This window comes from Homo sapiens, chromosome 6 (assembly GCF_000001405.40).
Source record: "Homo sapiens chromosome 6, GRCh38.p14 Primary Assembly".
Classification (NCBI taxonomy): domain Eukaryota; kingdom Metazoa; phylum Chordata; class Mammalia; order Primates; family Hominidae; genus Homo; species Homo sapiens.
Genome location: NC_000006.12, coordinates 55693422 through 55713572, shown reverse-complemented (window position 1 = coordinate 55713572; position 20151 = coordinate 55693422). Strand labels below are relative to the sequence as shown.

General features: G+C 34.7%; 1 annotated feature.

Moving 5' to 3' along the window:
- Positions 18938-19458: an enhancer, noted in NCBI's record as "OCT4-NANOG hESC enhancer chr6:55558913-55559433 (GRCh37/hg19 assembly coordinates)". NCBI's record gives its function as "activates a minimal SCP1, AML or CMV promoter by ChIP-STARR-seq in naive H9 embryonic stem cells {active_cell/tissue: H9 hESC(naive)}" and the evidence as "EXISTENCE:reporter gene assay evidence [ECO:0000049][PMID:30033119]".

Sequence of the window (20151 nt, the reverse complement as noted above, 5' to 3'; positions counted from 1 at the left end):
AAGATCAAAGGTTGTTTCCAGGAAGTAAGAACAGGGCAATGGACTTTACTATCTGAATACAGTGGAGATTTATGCAAGCTATTATTTGGTTCATGGTTATCACATTAACCTGGTGCTAATGCATATGGATGACAGCAGAAATGTAAACAGTCTTGAAGTGATATTAATTATAATTAGTTAAAAGTAAATCAATCTAGTGGTTTTGAATCATCTGTACCCTTTTGTCTAGCCTCACATCCTGACCCTAAATGATAGGAAAATCCACAGCAACTACAGCACACTTTTAAAACACAGTGCGCTGTTCTATGAAGGATTCTATGAATCCTTGGCTATTATTTTAACATTTTGATTAAATCATTCTACACTGAAATTCTTATTCTAAAGGTGAGGTTTTTCATGGGTGAGATTAGTCTAATTCTCCAGGATGTTGTAACAATTTTAAATTAATGCAAAATCTTAAATGTGTAAATTTTCTATATATTTTTTCTTCCTACCCAGGGAAAAAAGAAATCTCAGATCAGGAACCACACTACTCAGAAATGCTGCCCATTCCTATCCCCGCAACAATCCATCCCTGCTTCTTTATCATTTCTGGCATATCTACCCCAAATCCTGCATTCAATAATGTGCTACATTGCTTATTCTAATGAATCCATATTTGAGATAGAGAAGGTATTGGTCTCAAATGCAGATTTAGTTTGGGATCTGCCTGTCAGTGTGTTAATTATGGTTAATTCCATTTATGTGTTAGGCACCAAGCTAGACATTTAGCATACATTATTTCCTCCAGTCCCCACAATTCAAAGTGAATATGCTTATCCTCACAGATAAGTAAATTGAGACCCCTTAAATAATAAGGATGACATTACAGTTTACATTTGCTACAATTCAAAATAAGTCCTTTATATGCTATATAACATGGTCTCTAGTGAGACAAAATGTTGCTTTTAATTTTAAGTTAATATTAACTTCTGTAGTCATTCTAGGTTAGAAAACCTGATTTGTTCTTCCTTGAATCTTTAGTTTTTACTTATTGTGATGTAATTGTTGCTTTGCAAATGGGTAAAATCCATGAAGGGTAGGACTTCTAGAGGTGGCTATATTTTTTCCTGGAGTCATTATAATACATAATTTATTTAAATAAACTTTTGAATGAATTGCATCTTCTCAAAAAGAACCTTTCTAATTTTGAAAAAAATTTTGTTTAGTTTGTATAGTGTCACTCATAGAAAATTGCACCAAACAGGCACTTCATAAATTCAATAAATTTTTATACAACAAATAAAAATACCTGCTGACTTTAAAAATAGACCAAGTAGGTAGAAAGCCATTTGACTTCTTTCACCAAATATTTGTAATTGTTTGTCTGGAACAAGTACATAGAGACACAAGATTTTCTCTATGGTTCATTCTATAATTAATAATTTTTATTCTCTCTTTTAAAGACTTTTCTTTATGAGGGTTTTTTATTTTATTAAGTCCAACGAAATATAAAGTCTTTTGTAAAAGTGTGCAAGTATATTGCTTGAGAAAAGAGAATGTGGGGGTGATGACAATTGGGGATAATTGATTTAGATAGAAATGATGCTGCCATGAGAAAAAACAATGCTTACCACGGAATTCATTTCCTAGTGTAATAATTTATTAGGTAGTGTGAAGCAGATCCCCAAAGCACCTCATCTCCCACAGCACCTTTCTAGACCCAGATCGTATTTCTTTAGACTAGACATTGCAAAAATAAACAAAAAAACCCAGACCCTAATTTGTTTGATTGCCACTTTTGCCTCTTAATTCTGTTTTCCACACTGCAGTCAAATAAGAATCTGGCATATTTGTTCATGTACCTTATTGCATAAAAATCTCTCAGTGACTTCCCGGTGTCCTTAGGATAAAGATTAACTTCATTAAATTGCTGACAAGCCCCTGTGATCTGGTACCTTGATACCTCTCCAGTCTCATCTGCTTCTTCACTTTCTAAAGTTGAGATTATCTGCCTTTTCAATCCATTGCTTTTAGTGATCATTCCTCTGGCCACAGGGCCTTGCACGTATAGTTTCTGCCTGTCTTCCCACCTCAGACAGTTGAATACGTTATAGCCCAAGGCCACTAGGTCATTCCAGGATCTTCCTATGTGCCTCTTCTTTTCTCCTTTGAGAAGAGGGAGTAAAAAAAAAATAGAGAGTGAGTAGGAAGAACATAAAAACTCCTATGACTGCTACAACAGCAACCATTTACTCAGTGTGTATTATCTACTAGGCATTTTATGTGCATTAAAACTTACTTAATCCTTGCAATAACCCTTACATGTAAATGGTTTCAAATGTGAGTAAACAAATCTGATATTGATGCAATAACTTAAACTAGTAATTAGGAAAGTCAGAATTCAAACCTAAGTGTCAAACTTCAAAGGTACTATTCATATAGCTTTTTAAAATATAAGTCAAACAAGGAAAATTATATATGCTTAAATGGCATATCTTGATTTTATGCATCTCCACTTTTTCTTTACTTCATCTGTCAATATAATGAATATTTAAAGAATTTCCCACTGTAAGCAACTGTATTAATGACAACAATTGAAACAGCAGTATAATTCAGTGGTTAAAAGCCGGGACTCTGGAGCCAGACTGCCAGATTAAAAAGCCCCTTTATCATTTATCAGCTCTTTGTCCTTAGGAAAGTTGCCTAACTTCAGTTTCCTAGCTGGAAAATGGGATTAATGATATCCTAATTTTTCTCATAGTGCGAGGATTATACAGTGCAAGTAAATAGGTACGTAGTCATTAACACAGAATAGGAAGTAAGTGTTTTAAACTATTGAGAGCCTAGTGAGTGTTTTAAACTTATTGAGAGCCTATGGTATGTATGGACTGTGTTAGAAATTTTGCATATTCTATAAATTGTTACATTTAATCTTGATCCAATTTTTCCATCTTCTACTAGCTCTATGACTGGCAAAATCTCCTATAGGTTTTCCACTCCAAATGAAACAAAACAACAGAAAACAAACAAAAATTGGTAGCACTGTTTTTTTTTAATCAAATTTTCAGGTATTAAAATAGTTGACTTTTTTCATTATCTAATTTTTAAAATGACATATATTTTCAAGGTAGATAAAAATCTAAAAGTTTTAATATCATGGGCTTGCAGACCCGGAAGAGACATCAGACCAAGATCAGTGATGGTGCCAGGCAATTGAAAAACTGCTGTCAAATAATTGCCAGAATTTCTCTCCAGAAATGTGTTACGTACTTTTCAAATGGATAGCCCACTATTATCTTCACACTCTATATAATAAAATTTATTTCAAACTTTCTGGACCAATGTTTACCTACACACATGAAAAAGATGTACAGTTAAGTTTTAGGGCATCTAAAAGATACTATCTCATTTTTTAATTAAAAAGGAAGGAATCTACCCACTTAAGGATATCCTGAAGCCTGTGTGCACACAGGAGTTTAAGTTGAATACTTCTTAAAGAAAGGCACTTGTACCTGGGATAAAGCATAAAGGCACAGTTCAAAATAAGCAATAGCAAAGCATCCTTAGAATGGGCCGTTATAAAAACTAATGTTTCATACCTTGGCATCAATTTAAAGCTAATTTCAAAGGATACTAGAACCATCCTTAAGAAATCTTACCAATTAGCATATAAGTGAACTGACCATCATATGATGATTGTGTGTGTTTGTGTAATTAAGAAGTGAGCTTGACAAGGATCTACAAGATTCTAGACAATAAAAGTACACTTGTGTGTCTTTGTATCTCTGACTTCCTGTTTCATCTTAACTGAACTTAACAGTGCATGTGTTTCCACATATTCCTCACCCTCTAGTAGAAGTCCATAAACCCTGGGAGCTCTTTCTCACTTGTTTCCCCCATTTGGACATCTCTCCACTTTCTTGGCCTGCCTTTACCTCATTCCTTTAACTGGCTTCATTAAAATACTTCTTGCTTACTTAATGGGTAGAAGACAAGGATCCTACCCTTAAGAAACACAGGACTTTCAAAATAAGAAGCATGAGTTTGGCTCTGTCATTGCTGTTGAACAGAACTGTAGTATATGAGGTTCTACATTAGGGCAACACTGTAGGAATATGGAACGGTCCAGTGGAATGAGTCATGAATGTAGACCTATATCTAAATTTCAGAAAGGTCTTGCCACAAGTACTTTAACCATGACAATTTTTAAAGGAATTAATGTATGTTTCTTCTCTCTAAAAAGAAGATGGGCAATTCACAACTGTGATTTTTTCCAACTCCTTTGAACATAGTAGTGAATGACCTTTTCAATGCTTTGCGTTTTGTGGTAAAACTTCATAAATTCTATAAAAAACACAGTAAACAGACCTTTAAAATAACTTGGAAAAAGTTTAGAGAAAAATTCCTTTCTATTACTATGTTTATAACATGAAAAACCTTGTCTTTTCTGTGAACTTTTTACTACCATATTACTCAGGTAACCATTTCAAAGCTTTAAAGCTATAATACACACTTATTTAGAATTTCTCAAAGAGATTCCAAAAAAAGTATGTTTTCCAGCCAATTTAAATGATAGGTCCAAAATTGTGTTTAATTTAGAAATATTTGTATTTTGAGGGAGAGAAAAAATGTTTTCAACTATGTTTATGTTGAATGCCAGCTCCTCATATATCACCAACTGTGGATAAGACAAAGTTAAGTTTATTGCTCACTGTAGTGTGGGAGAACACCACTTGAACAGAGCTTTGGGAATGTCTCAGACTAGGAAGCGCAAGATTGAATTTTATTGAGATTCTGAAACTTGGTTAAAGAAAGCAATGGAGGGAATGGGGCAGGAAGAAGGGGTTGTAGGAGGAAGCTTGATTAGCTTTGGGAAATTCTTATGACATAAGAGGCTATAATTGGTACAAGCAGCAATGCCAAGATTTTTAGGCAAGGGGTTCAAAGAATCTTGTTAGGTTAACTGTCTGTTTATGTCTTCTATTGAAAAGTTGATAAGTCTTTTCAAAAGTTCCTGTAGTAAACAAGAAAGACAATTCCATAAAGACCACTGAAGCCAGGTTAATGTAGACATTAAGATATACAGGAATAGGTTTCTTTTTTCATTTGTCAAATAACATAATTAAAAACATACTTAAAGATTACTGGTCAGGCGTGGTGGCTCATGCCTGTAATCCCAGCACTTTGGGAGGCCAAGACGGGCAGATCATGAGATCAGGAGTTCGAGACCAGCCTGACCAACATGGTGAAACCCCCTTTCTACTAAAAATACAAAAAATTAGCTGGGCTTGGTGGTGAGTGCCTGTAATCCCAGGTACTCAGGAGGCTGAGGCAGGAGAATCACTTGAACCTTGGAGGTAGAGGTTGCAGTGAGCTGAGATTGCACCATTGCACTCCAGCCAAGGCGACAGGGAGAGACTTTGTCTCAAAAAAAAAAAAAAAAAAAAAAAAACTTAGAGATTACTATAAATGTTTCCTCCAAATAAGTGAAATTTTTATTGGAACTTTATATATGCCCATAGAGAACACATATTTACCAAATTAGTTTGGTAAATAAAATAATCATTATACATGAATATTTGTGGTTACAGACTTGCTAGAGTCATAAAAGAAAAATATAGCACTTATTTTCTTATCTTTTTAAAATATATTTAAAAGCTAAAAAGCCTTCTTATTCAGGAACACATTGAAAATATTTGAAATAATAAAAACAAAGTAACACTGTTAAATTGAATTTTATTTACTTATGTAGAAATAAATTGCTCAGAAATGTGTTATGAACACACTTAAAAAATATTTAGTTTAAAAAACAAGAGATTATTTAATAGATCGAAAAGCTTAGTAATTCACCAGGAATAAAATATTGTTTAAATGAATAGAAAATATTAGGTCACTATTAAAAGACTTTTGAATTTATTGGGGCTAACCAAGGTCAAGTGCTGTAATAAAAAAAGACTGAGAATTTTGAAAGTAGTGTTTATGATTACTTCTAAAATAAATGGTCTTTGAGATTCATATTTTCTCAGTAAGAATGCCTACTGTCTTCTAATATAATTTCACAAGGTTACTTAGGTTTATGAATACTACAAGAAATAACTTAAAAGTTAGAAGTTTAGGATAAAGTATTAAAATCAGGATGGAATTGCAGAGAAAGGAATATAACAAGAGCAAGAGAGACAGATAATAGATAAGTTGAACAAGAAAATAATTTAAATGTTCTAGCTTTAGAAAGAGGCTTTCATAAAGAATAAGTGCCATCTACCCAAAGACAGCATTTTTTAATGAAAATATTTCTGGGTTAAATGATCAATCCTAAGCATTCTTAAATCATTAGCTTCACTATTATAAAGACAGTTTTCCCCACCACTATACAGAGGCTGAAAGAGCCTAATGTGGAAGCTGATCAAGTAGTATGAAATACTTGAAATGTATCTAACATAATTTATATCTTTTTGTTAAGCATTGCCCTCTTCAGAAACTGCCCTTTAAAACATAAAAAATCTCAAAAGAGCCCTTGGTAAGAATGGGATCATAGAACAGAAGGGATTCTGAAGCTGTGAAGTGCTATGAAAAGGACCTTAAGGGTTACGAGAAGACATTTCATTTGCCTTGAAGTTTTGCCTAGGATCTCTCCTGCTTGTAGGCATGAGGTGTCAGGACTTATGTGAGTCCAGTTGGATGTTACACGTTATAAGTTTTATGCCTACTGAGCAGGAGAAGGTCATCTATCCATGTATATCTTGGGTTTAAAAAACAAAAGCCAATGTCTACTAAAATATTACTGATTTATTGTTTCTAAATTGAAAATATGAAATTAAACAGTTCAGAATTCATTTTTGGATTAGAAAAACTATGGACATCTCCAGGCTAAAGAACGTTTTAGTACTTTTAGGAAGTAACACATTTTTATAATGGATATGTTCAGAGCTTCATAGCTTTTAACTTGTGTAATAACAAACAGTTGTGATGGTTTGCTACTAATTCAATAGTTGAAATGGAAAACAGAAGAAAAATAGCTCAAATTCCGAAGTTTGGGTGTTTTAGTTTGTAAAATGGCCTAACAACATGTAGGTATGAAACCAGTGTTCTCATTATGACTTATGTGGAAATGAAGGTTTTCAAGGAACCAATTTTACTCATTATCAAGAGCACAGTTTTACAGTGATTTTCATCAACCATCTAATCATTTTGTTCCTTTCACTACCTGAGATTTACATATAGCAGATATAATTGTAGTACTTTGTTTTCTAGCAGTTTTATGCTTAGACCTTTTAACATAATAGCACTTCTTTTTCTTTTGAAATCAGTGAGATCTCTCTACTGTGTCTTGCAAGACAAAGATGATGTGTTATGTGGACTTAACTCCTTTGTGCTGTTTCAGTTCTTTGCAAAGCTTCCTCTTTGCCACAAAATCAGCTTAAAATACTTTCAGTGCTGCTTTATGCATATGTGATTCAAGAAATAAAGAAATAGAGATTGAATCCTTTTTATTTTACACATTTGAAGATTCAAGGATAAGCATATTTTTAGCTTTTTTTTTTACATTCTTAGTCTTAACGCTTTAGGAAATGAAAAAGAAACTTGCTTTGGCATTCTGCATGGTGTAATTTGGATCCTTGGTTTTCTGGCTTCAGTTTGCATGCTAAGGATTTGGTATAGTGAGGGAGGCTGAGACCATTATAAATAGACTCCTGGATTCTGTAATACTGGGAGCATTCTGTTCATAATGCAAGAAAGCTTAAAAACATTGCTTTCATTATAATTGGAGCTGCTATAACAATCCTGCAGACATACTGTTTATGTCTGGATTTATTTTACCCAATATTTCTTTGTAAAAGCCTTACATTTTTATTTTGTAGATGGCTGAAAAAATTGGTTAGATGAAGTCAAGATGCACTGATGCCAGAAAATTGTGTAAGTAATGAAATATGATGACTTAAAAAGTAGTTTTTTTTCCGACATCATCCAGGCTTACCACTTACACTATTCACAACCATTGGATACTTGCCATTTTCCTTTTTGCAGTAGGAAGAACTGGCCCACAAGTTTCCTCTTTATGTTTTTATGTGGGTAGAAAAGGAAACCCTCTGGAAATGTTGCTTCAGCAAAGGTTACTGTAACTTATATGCAATAGATCTCAATACTCGTAGATAGAAGAGCTTACTTTGTTTTGTGGCTTGATTTATTTTAACTGAATTGAGCAGATAATCGAATAGCACATGGACAGACTCAGTAAGAAGTTCAGTCACTCCTTATGTGTTTCTTAAATATAATACTTCAACATAATACTTTCCCATTATTGCTGACTTAATATTCTACACTGCTCAGTATCTACATATGTTCTAAAACCAATTCTCTGACAACTAGATGCCTTTTAATTCAATTTAATTCTGACACTAACTACCTAGAGTTAGCACAGGCCTTACAAGTTTGTACAAACAGTTGTGAAGACAAGACTACACTCACTTCGGATATCAACTGCAAATCTCAGGGCCACAGGCGCACCTGACTGACCAGTTATAAAATCAAGAGTTCTCACCACTCCTTTCAGATTTGATAATTTGCTAGAATGACTCAGAATTCACCAAAATCACTGTATTTACAATTACTGTTTTGTTATGAATGATACATATCAGGAACAGTCAAATGGAAGAGGCATATAGGCAAGGTCTGAGATTGGGGTGGGGTAGGGGCACAGAGCTTCCATGCGCTTCTGTAGAATCTGGCCTATTGCCCTCCTAGCAAATCAATGTGCTCACCAACCCAAAAGCTGCACTGAATCTCAGGTTCAGAGTTTTTATTGGGGTTTCATTATATAGACATAATTTATTAAATCATTGGCCATGTGATTGAGCTCAAATTCTAGTACCCCTGGTTCTTGCCAGAGACTGAGCTGTTCCCAAGTTTCAGTCCTCTAGTCACAATCATATGGTGGGTGTTTTCAGTGACCAACTCCCATTCAGAATCTGCGTAAGGTCCCATAATGAGTCACCTAATTAACCTAACAAATACTCTGACTCAGAAAATTTCCACTCAGGAAATTCCAAGTTTTTTGAAGCTCTAAGACAGAAATGGATAACAAGGAGTAGAAATCTTTTATTATATCACACATATATAAATTTAACTGGAGTTATTTAATTGATAATCTTTAAGATAATGGAGACCAATTTTTTCTCAAGTGCTAATTTTTTTTTTTTACAGAGAATAATAGTGTTATAGTCTGTTAGAGGTATTGTGGTTTGAATTATGATAATAGAAGATTTGAATATAAACTTGATAACCAAAAATACAATGTTTTAATGTCATAAAAGTTTTTGAAGAATGGTTGTTACTAAAGTATGTTTATTATGTTTAACATAACTTTTCATTTCTTATGAAGAAGCTAAATACATATGGATTAATGAAAAATAATAACTTCCTCTTTTCATGTTATTACTCTCCAGTTTTCAGATTTTTATTCTATTGTATGACAGATACTGGGTATAAGTATTTACAGAATAAAATTTGGAATAAGCAAAAAAGAATACTGGGTGTCTCCAATGAAAAACTGCATTACTTACAATCTCCTCCCCTGGCTTATCTGATTCTAATTCTGCGGGGCTCTGTGCCCTTCACTCTCTTGGAGTTATTTTACAACTCCTTAAATTGCACTTACTAGTGACCCAAAATAATTTTTCTCTATAGACATGCAAATAAATTCTGTCAAGTAGAGACTTCCCTGCTCCACTATGTAATAAGTCAGTTTCGTGTCTATTTGCAAATTCGTTTTAATATTCCTTATCCATAAATGTGTCTGTTCTTTGACTTCTCCTTTGAGCAGTTTAACGCTTGCTCACTTATTTCATTAATAATGAATTACGTAAGATATCTTACAGATGCTAATTTTTTATCTGTATGAGAGTAATGATTTTACCTTTTTTGGGAAAGTCATCCTTAAACAAAAATTATTAAGAGATTGATTACAGGATCTGAAAGAAAGAGGGGAGAAAAGAAAATAAATAACTGTTGTTAGTTTAGTTAGCTTCAAATGGACCAGCTAGTCAAACCTCTTCAGAAAATCTGTGTTTAGCCATATAATAAATACTTTGTATTAGTTCAGTCATTCATCAATTAATGCTTTATAAATGTTATTTATAATAATTATTTGCCTAATTAACTAAATGTTTAAGTGTTTATAGATTTAACATAAGATGTAGGTAAGAAATACATTTGTATTGAAGAGTGCCTTACAGAAACAAAAATACTTTATATGACTATCCTGTTAAATACCAGCCAAAACATATTTTTAGGGAATTTTTTGAAAATAATCTGTGTACTGATAATTCTAAAATTTATATCTGTAGCTCACTTTTCAAACCCTAATTTCAGAACCCAAGGTTTCTAGCCTAAGCACCTAGAGAATGAAACTGGAATAACTAAGATAAATAAGGCTGCAGATAGAGAAGGACTAGGGATGAACATCAGGATTTTGGTTAGGCAGAGTGATTTTGACATGTTTAGTATACATCTAGGTGGAGAGTTTATTCAGATAATCAGATATATGAGGTTATAGCTCAATAGAAAAGTCTCTGTAAAAAGATATCTTGGGAACTGCTATCATTTACATGATATCTAAAGCCAGGAGACTGGATGAGACCATGCAGGGAGTCAGTGTAGTTGGAGATGAGAAAACAAAAAATGAACTCTTGGATTCTGTACATTAAGAGTCTGGGGACATGAGGCAAAACTAGCAAAGAAAACTGAGAAGGAAAAGCCAGTAAGTTAGGAGATAAAGGGAGAGATTATGCTATCCTGGAAGCCAAGTGAGAAAGTGTATCAAGGCCAAAGTGCTGATGGTCTGTGAAGATGAAATAGAATGGACAACCGAATTTACCTAGGTGGAGATCATTATTGTCCTTAATAGGAAAATGAGTCACAGCAAATACACCATTGGAGTGTGTTAAAAAGAGAAAGGGTGGGTGTGCATGGTGGTTTGTTCATACCTGTAATCTCCGCACTTTGGGAGGACAAGGCAGGTGGATCACTTGAGGCCAAGAGTTCAAGACCAGCCTGGCCAATATGGTGAAATCCTGTCTCTATTAAAATGATAGATAGACAGATGATAGATGATAGACAGATAGATAGATAGATAGATAGATAGATAGATAGATAGAGAAAGGGTAGAGAGAAAAGTGAAGGCAACATCTTTTTATTGATCTTGCTTTTGCCTTTGCCTCCTGAAGACTTCCTGGCGACAGAAGTTCTAGCGATCCAATTAAAATGTAAATCAGGTGTTGTTACTGTCTACTATAAACTCTTCAGGGCTTTCCCATCTTTTTCAGGGTATAAGCTAAAAATCTGTGTCTGGCTCCTGCATGATCTTTCTGACCTTATCTCCCATTCTTCTCTCTCTAGTTCTCCTATCTCTAGCTATCCAAGCCTCATGTCTAAAGCCTCGTGTTTCAGGGGCTTTGTTCTTATTTTACCTTTTAGGTGAAATGCCCTTTCTCCTTATATCCACAGCCCTCTCTCTTCCCCCAGATATCACTTCAGCGAGGCTTTTCTGGCGATTCCATTGAAAAATCACACATCCTTCACTTATGTTCCATGCCGATACTCCATTTTTGGACTTACTAGTACTATTACTAGCTGACATTTTATACATTTATCTTGTTTATTGTTTGCCTCCCTCTCCATTAAGTTAGATCCATATGGGCAGGAATTAAATTTATTTTGTATCCTGGTGTATTTCCTGTACTTAAAACACTACTTGGCACTCAGAGTGCATGCAATAAATATTTTTTGAGCCAGCAAATGAGAGAGGTGCCATGCAGTTCCGTGCAAAATAAACTAAACCTCTGTTAAAGTGAACAACGGGCCGGGTGCAGTGGCTCACGCCTGTAATCCCAGCACTTTGGGAGGCTGAGGTGGGCAGATCACAAGGTCAGGAGATCAAGACCATCCTGGCTAACACGGCAAAACTCTGTCTCTACTAAAAATACAAGAAATTAGCCGGGCGCTGTCGTGGGCGCCTATAGGCCCAGCTACTCAGGAGGCTGAGGCAGGAGAATAGCATGAACCCAGGAGGCGTAGATTGCAGTGAGCTGAGATCACGCCACTGCACTCCAGCCTGAGTGACAGAGCGAGACTCTGTCTGGAAAAAAAAAAAAAAAAAAAAAAAGAACTGGTGGATACATTCACCTATGGTCGTGTTTTGAACCCCTGCCTATACGGCTGGCTGGCCCTGGGATGATATCTCTATGCTACAGTTCTTTTAACTGCCACAGCAGCCAGTAAGATTTTGATACATTCAGTCCCTTTTAGGGATCTCTTATAAGAAAATGGGTAAAAATTGGACAAAGATATATGTGCCAAGAATTCACTGTTATGTAATTTGTAATAGTGATTATATTAATCTTGTCTACCACTCTTTGATTCAAGTGATAGAAACCCAGTTGAAATCTACATAAGGAAAAACAGAAAACAAAAAAGTGGGAGCAACATATTTGTATATTCAATAAAATCATAGGAAAGATAATAGGGAACTGTTTATGCATGACTAGATTCAGAAACCCAAATGATGTCAAGACTTCCTTTTCCTAACTTTGTTATCTCACCTCTCCTTCTACTTGACTGCTCTCAGGCTGTAGCTGGGTGTTCACATACGGTCTTGGGCATGAATACTACTCAAATTATTTTCCTAATTTTTATTTAATTTTCTTTTTGTGTAGAGATGAGGTTTTGTTATGTTTGAGACCAGCTTGAAAGTATTTTTTAAGTCATCCAGCATCCAGATAAAAGGACAACTGAGTTTGTTTTCCAGGCTTTATGCATGCTACTGTACACACACGTAACACCCTGAACACAGCACAGGAACACATAATTATTCAGGGAACAATATCTGTGTGCATTTTGTAGCCTGCTTTTGTTACCTAGTACGTTCTAAATAATTTTTTGGTTATTAAATTTTATTTGAAAATGATATTCAAAGATTGCCCAATATTTCATTCTATCATTAATCATTTCCTGTAAGATGTTTCAACTTTAAGATATTTCCAATGTTTCACTAATATAATGTGAAATAAATGCTGAAATAAAAATCAGAAGCATATTTCTTATTGTGTCCTAGAAAAAATTCCTAGATACAGAATTAGTGAGTCAAAGGCTATGCACATTTTTAGATTCTTAAAAATAATTGCCAAAGTGACTTTGAGAAAGTTGTTCTGATTTACCCTTTACACCAGCATTGTACAAGAGTGATTTTATAACTATAAATCTGCTAACATTGGATACTACAGTTTGCAAATATTGTTGCCAGTTTGACAGATGCTTTAATTTGCTTGGATAGTTCTTCATATATTTATTATTAATTTGTATTTCTATTCTGAGAATTGCCTAAGCCTGTATTTCCCAATTTTATTGGGATGTTTTTCATTTCCTTATTGATTTGAAAAAGATATTTGGTACATTTATTAGCCCTTTATTGTATATGCTGCAAATTTTTGTATTTGTTTTGATATATAACTCCAGATTCATATGTAGTCAAATTATCAATTACCATAGTCACCAACATCTATTGTCATATTTAGATATTATTATAACTGCAGTACCTGTATAAATCTAATTTTGATCATGCCTCCTTTCCACTTTCCAGCTTACACTGCAATTCTAGTAATGCTTCCCTATTCATCGGCCCCACTACATTTTGCTCTTCTCTGTCTCCTTCAAGTCTTGATCTCTCCCTTAACCCAGCAAAGACGCCATCAAAACAATAACTCCTTAGACTGAGACTCTCTTAACCGTGCTATTCTACCTTTAGCTAGTTTAGCAAAAACCCAACCCTGCTTGGATTCAACTCTATACTGTTTGCCCCAGAATCAATGGAGGAAAAATGCAGCTATGTTCGCTAGTTTCTCAATAAATTAATGATCACCATCCTCAAATGGGTCTTCTTTCTGAAGTCACATTACATTTCCTTAAAGTGTGAACAATTCCCCTTCAAACTATTCTTCTTTGCTCTTCCTTGACAATTACTTTATTCCAATAAAATTTGCCTCTCTTTCTGTATCATAACTGTATCTAAACGGACAATGAGCAGGGGCCAGATCAGACCTGTGACTGCAGCAGAAACCAGCATGGATTCAGAAGCTAACTTGTGGCCATAAGGCTCACTTCTCCACCATGTTGAGATGGCTCAAACCCCTCAGTCCTTCTATAGATTCAGACAAAAACTAGAGAAAAGCAAGGATGGGAGTGTTGGAAAGATTGTCTTTCCCCACAAAGAGTAAGAAAAAGTATACAAAATAGAAGATACTATTTCCCCTTTGTTACACAGGTTAAATCAGGTTTTTTTTCTACTCTTCAATTTAAGTTGGTAGAGGCAACTTTTATTACACTTTGAATCATAATAAATTTTTAAACATGCAAAATAAATTCCTAATTAGAGTTGAGTACTAACCTTCTTATTTGATCTGAAAAATGTTAATATAAATGGGTAAATAAAATGATAGAGGTTCCAATTTGCAAGGAATAAGGTGAAGAAATTCCACTAGTACTTTCAATTAGTCAGCTAGAGAATATTTCTGAAGAAATACTTGAATTCTGGAGTAAAAACCTTATGTCTGTAATAGTAAATTTTAGGATATTTATTGCTATATTAATAAAAATATCTATTATACATATTCTTTAATATCCTTAATGAATAGCCTCTTCCAGAAGTCCATATGACCTACCAACCATGACTAATTAGGAGTAAAACAGACATAAAATCTTCTGTAACAATAAATATGAAAGACAAGCAGGGATGCAATATTAGGAGGTAAGTTTAACATATATTTTTAATATAATATTTTTAAAAGCATACCCATTTGAGCCTCAGAACACTTTTTTGGTGAAAACAATTTCAAATATGCTCATCTTTCTACAGCATTTTTGGCAAGATTCCATAAATTTTCTTTCTAGTTATTTATTAATCACAGCAACATGTATGAAATTCTTAACAGGTCAACACATTCTTGTTAGGTTGATTTAGGATGCACTTGAACTTTTACAATTTAAAACTTGATCCCAATCATTGCTACATATCATGAGAATAATCTAGCCTATGTACAGTGATAAAGTCTTTTTTGTCTTTATAGAACTTTTATACTTCTTTTACTGATTTATTTCTTCTCCACATCAGTCCACTGAAACTGGCAAAATATCGTCATGTTTCTAATTAGAAAACAGAGAGAGAGAAGTGTGAATTTTGCTTAAGGTCAATCCGAATAATTAATCACCTGCTTCCCTCTCCTTTCTTCAAGGAAATACTAGGAGGAGAGAGGAGGCTATTTCATTTATCTCCTGAGTTGTGTATTGTGAAAACATACCTCAGTCTCTGGGCCTTCCATGGTGCTAACAGCTTCATTATGGAAAAACTTTCACTTTATTACTGGTCGCAGCCTCAAGTTTCCAGACCCAATTTTCTAAAAAGATATTTCTGTCCTACAGGAGAAGCAGCAATGAATATTTTGTGGGGCATAGCACATTCAGTCTGCTACCTTGTCTCGTTCCTCAAACCACCACCATTCAAAGTGGTATGATTTTATAAAACTTTTCTCAAAGTTTGGTACTAATTATAGCGAATTGAAAATTTCATTGTTAAATTGTGCTTCCCCGTACACCCATGGGTCTATTTTGGGGAACACCCGGTTTTTTTTTCTTTTTTGGAGATGGAATCTTGCTCTGTCGCCCAGGCTGGAGTGCAGTGGCGCGATCTCGGCTCACTGCAACCTCCGCCTCCCGGGTTCAAGCGATTCTCCTGCTTCAGCGTCCTGAGTAGCTGGGACTAAAGGCACCTGCCACCACGCCTGGCTAACTTTTTGTATTTTTAGTAGAGACAGAAAAACACGGGGTTTCACCGTGTTAGCCAGGATGGGCCCCATCTCCTGACCTCGTGATCCGCCCGCCTCCGCCTCCCACAGTGCTGGATTTACAAGCCTAAGCCACCGCACCTGGCCTGGGAACACTCATTTTTTAAAGTCAGATTTCTCCATTGTCAACCAAGTACTACCTGCCCGACTCTACCTAATCTTGCTTTTCTTCTAATCTGTACTGTGCAAATATTCACCACCTTTTAGGACACCTCACCTTGCACAGGATCGATTTGCCCCAGGATTCAACATCCTCTCACCATCAGACCTTAATCTAGAGATGAATGACTCCAGGTCTTAAGAACCCAAGTCTTTCTGAATGGTGCTGGGCACATAAGGCTGTGTCTTCCTAATTCTTAGCAAGAGACTTGAACATAATTCTGATGCCATTGACATTTTTTCATCAGTGTGGTTTTTTATATTATTTATTCCTCCCATAGTCCAGATAATAGCAGTAGACCCCCACAGCATTCCCCTTTTCTGAAGGTAAATATTAAAACAGTATAATTTAATATTATAGTGGAGAAAGAATTATCTTTCCGTTTCATAAATTTTAAAAGTGTTGCCTTCACAATAGAGGCCTATCAACCTTGAAAAATGAGTGATGATATTTATAATGTATTTTTAAATTTTTTTCTAAAATTATTCAGTTAATAAACATTAGTCACCAATTATCTACAGGCACTATGTTCTAAAGGTGAAAACCTTGGTTAGACAGCCCTTCTCATATACCCCCATAGCCTCCTATACTTTTCAAGTACACATCACAGGATCCTATATTGTAATTGCCTGTTTACTTGCTTGAGTTGTTCACCAGATTATATGCATCATGAGGGTGAGGATTGGTAGCTTCTATTTTCCCTCTTATCTCTAGCATTTAGCACAGTGCTCATAACCAAGCAGTTTAGTATATAACTCAAGATGAATGAATTACAAATCTCAAACAAGATCACTGACATTTTAGATAGAGAAATAAACATCCATGTAACCGGTTAAAAATTCTATGGTTGGGTAATATGTTGAGAGGTTATTTTGTGGTTCATCTTTGTTGCCACAGAGACAGCAAAATATAGCAGGTACATTTGCCTTCTTAAAGGAGCTCAAAAGTATAGATCTGTGTTCAGAATTCTAGGTGCCGTTTTAGTGGATTGGAAAATAGGAACTCCTATGTATTTCTGGGAATGTCTTGATAATAATCCCTATGCAGATTGTATCATAGAAGATGAAGTCCATTGGGAAACTCACTCTAGGAACTGAGTAAGTAAAAATACTTAAGCCAAACCTGAGTCCCTCCCTCCCAGGGTTAAAGAGGAATAGCTCTGTACTGTGCCTATGGAGCCTGGACACTCAGCCATGGTTAGAGAGCTTGAGACTTTTTTATTTTGCATGGATGGAGAGAGCCATTTGAATGAGCCTGAGGGCCTGGGCATTCTCAACGAAGGCAAGATGACCCTTGTCTACCCAGCCTAAATACCTACAAATCCTTAGTGACTACAGCAGTTCTCTAATAATGGCTTTTATTGGGATCTCCTGACATTGAGAGCTTGGAATCAAATTTAATGTGCTGCAAAATATTCTCGAGTAACCAACTTTATTAACTACAAGTGAAATGATTTAGGAGAGGTCAGAGAACAATTATTTTTCCAGGGGCCTTAGTTTTGGAGGAAGGGATATGTAACTTAGCAGAAATCCTTAAGCTTCGATTAGAAATAGGAGGAGAAAAGAGCATTTGAGGGTGAGGGAAGAGTATAAGTAAAAATAGAGAGGTTAAAAAAAGTATGTTGAAAGAAAAACATTTAGTTTGGTGCTGCTAAAGCGGTGGTTACTGGTATTTGTTGGGCCTGAGAACCATCTGGAATGTTTCCATAGATAGTATGTATATCAGGCTCCTAAATGGGACAGTCTGAATAAGCATGCCTGGAATGGAACTCTATGATGTAGATCTTGAAGAAGTTTTGCAGGTGTGTCTGCATTCAAAAAGGTGAAAAACATAAGGATAGAAGGTTAAATTAGCAGAAAAGAATAAGACGTCAGTCAAAATCCAGATAAAATTGGATTTTCAAGACTGTTGAACAATCTGCTCAAAAGTTAGGACTTTGAATGAAGAAAGTTTCATCTTTCTGTTTATTTTATGGATATGTATCATTTTCGTGTTTTATATTGTCACTCATCTTTAACACTTAGAACCACCCCCACTTCCTTCCTTTCTTCCTTCCTTTATTTCTTAACAAACACATATCGAATACCTATTATATGTTAGACAAAGGTTTAAGGATGTGGATATAAAAATGTGATTTATGATTTCAAGATTTCTTAGTGTGATTCTCTTAATACTTTACTAGACTCTGTAAAAATTATGTCATGGTTAACAATTTAGAATTTATAACAACTGGTTACTTGTATAGGAAAGTTTAACCTATTTCCAAGAGAAAACAATATTTTCCCACAAAGACATTGAACATTTTTACCTCTGAAAGCAAAATTTTGCCTTTCAAAGACATCTAAAGAAGGAAAATACTAACCTCATTACATTATAAGATCTTTGTTATGAAATTCTAAATGAACCTTCTAAATACTTTGTACCTTGGCTGGCCTTTCTAATTTAAATATTTACTATACATGATGAGTATCTTAAGAAATTTCACACTTAAAAGGCTCTTAAAGAGTAGTGGTTTAAATAGTTTTTGACAGTGACTTGTTTTACATAACTTGAAATATTCAATATGTGTGTGGGTGCATGTATTATGCACTTACAGACAGAATTACACTTACAAATGACTTTGGCTTCAGATTCAGACCTCAGAAAATGACTTAATTCCATAACCTGACACTTTCCACTGCTATAGGTTAATCTTCTATAAACTCATTTTGAAATGATATGTTATGGTTATCCCAAAACTCCTTAAAGTAGACATATCTCAAAAGTCTGAAATGTTAATCATGAGAACTAAAAGAACTCATTTTTCCCCAAAAGAAAATTTGATCTGTCGCCAAAGCCAAATAAATATTTTCTATAAAATGCTGAAATAATGTATGGAAAAATCTGTGAAACTAAAACCTCCATACAATCTAAGTTAAATGCCCATATTTATTTATATAAGGAGAGTGACCCTCAGTGTATAGAAGATACCTCTTTTTGTGACTGTGGGTTTTTTTTTTTTTTTTTTTTTTAAATGAAGGCAACACTGCATGGCCTGCATTCTACTTAATTAAAAGCTATAGTGGGCCTTCCCAGATGTTAAAGGGGCCTGAGCTGAATAAAGTGTTGACATCAGATGAATGGGCGAGGCCACCTGCTAGCTCCACTCTTGGCTTTGTGGATGATTTGCATTCCTGTGGCCTGTTGCTCGGCATGACCACTCTCAGCACTTCACAGCACCATGGCCTGTTTAATATCATGGATGCCTTCCAGTCATGAAGTCTCTCTTCTATATTAACATCAGCACACAATAGCAAGGGGCCCATTCCATGATTTCTTTGCTCAGAGTATGATGTTTTTACTTAATTTAGACCACATAAAAGAAAAGGAAATGCTTTTCTACAGGCTGGATTAAGATAAAATAAACTTCTCCTTGCCTAAAATCATTAACAGATCAATTGTTCTTTCATGAAGACAATGCTCCTTATTTTAATTGGCAAATAGTATAAATTAGATTAAAAATATAACTTGACCTTAGTAAGCACAGAATGTTTCAATTTTATTTCTTTGTTCGTCAATTTAAGATAAGTCACTCAAGAGTGTTTAGATTAGACTGTAAAGGCTGGGATGGTAATAGTCTATAAACCTAGGAAATTCCATGTTTCATAGAGGAGAAATAGTAGGCTGCAACAGAAGTGAAAGGGATAAATCATAACATTACAATCTAGAGTATATTAAGAACAAAAAGAGAAAGAAAGGTATTATGGGAGGCACTTGCAAACAATTGATTTTAAATTATTTTTTCACCCAATTTAATGTTCAATTATTTTAATTTTGGTGAAGTATACAAATATAAAGTGTACATAAAATGTACCATTTTAACCATTTTTACATGTACAGAAAGTCATTTTGTACAAAGTGGTCAATTCATCAGAAGGACATAACAATCCTAAAGTTTATGTTCCTAATAGCAGAGTTTCAGAATACATAAAGCAACAACTAGAAGTACAATGAGTAAGAGACAAATTTATAATTGCAACTGGAGATTTTAATATCCCTCACTCAATAATTGACAGAGACAATAGGCAGAAAATCAGCACAGACATAGAAAACTGAATAACAACAACCAACTTGACTTAA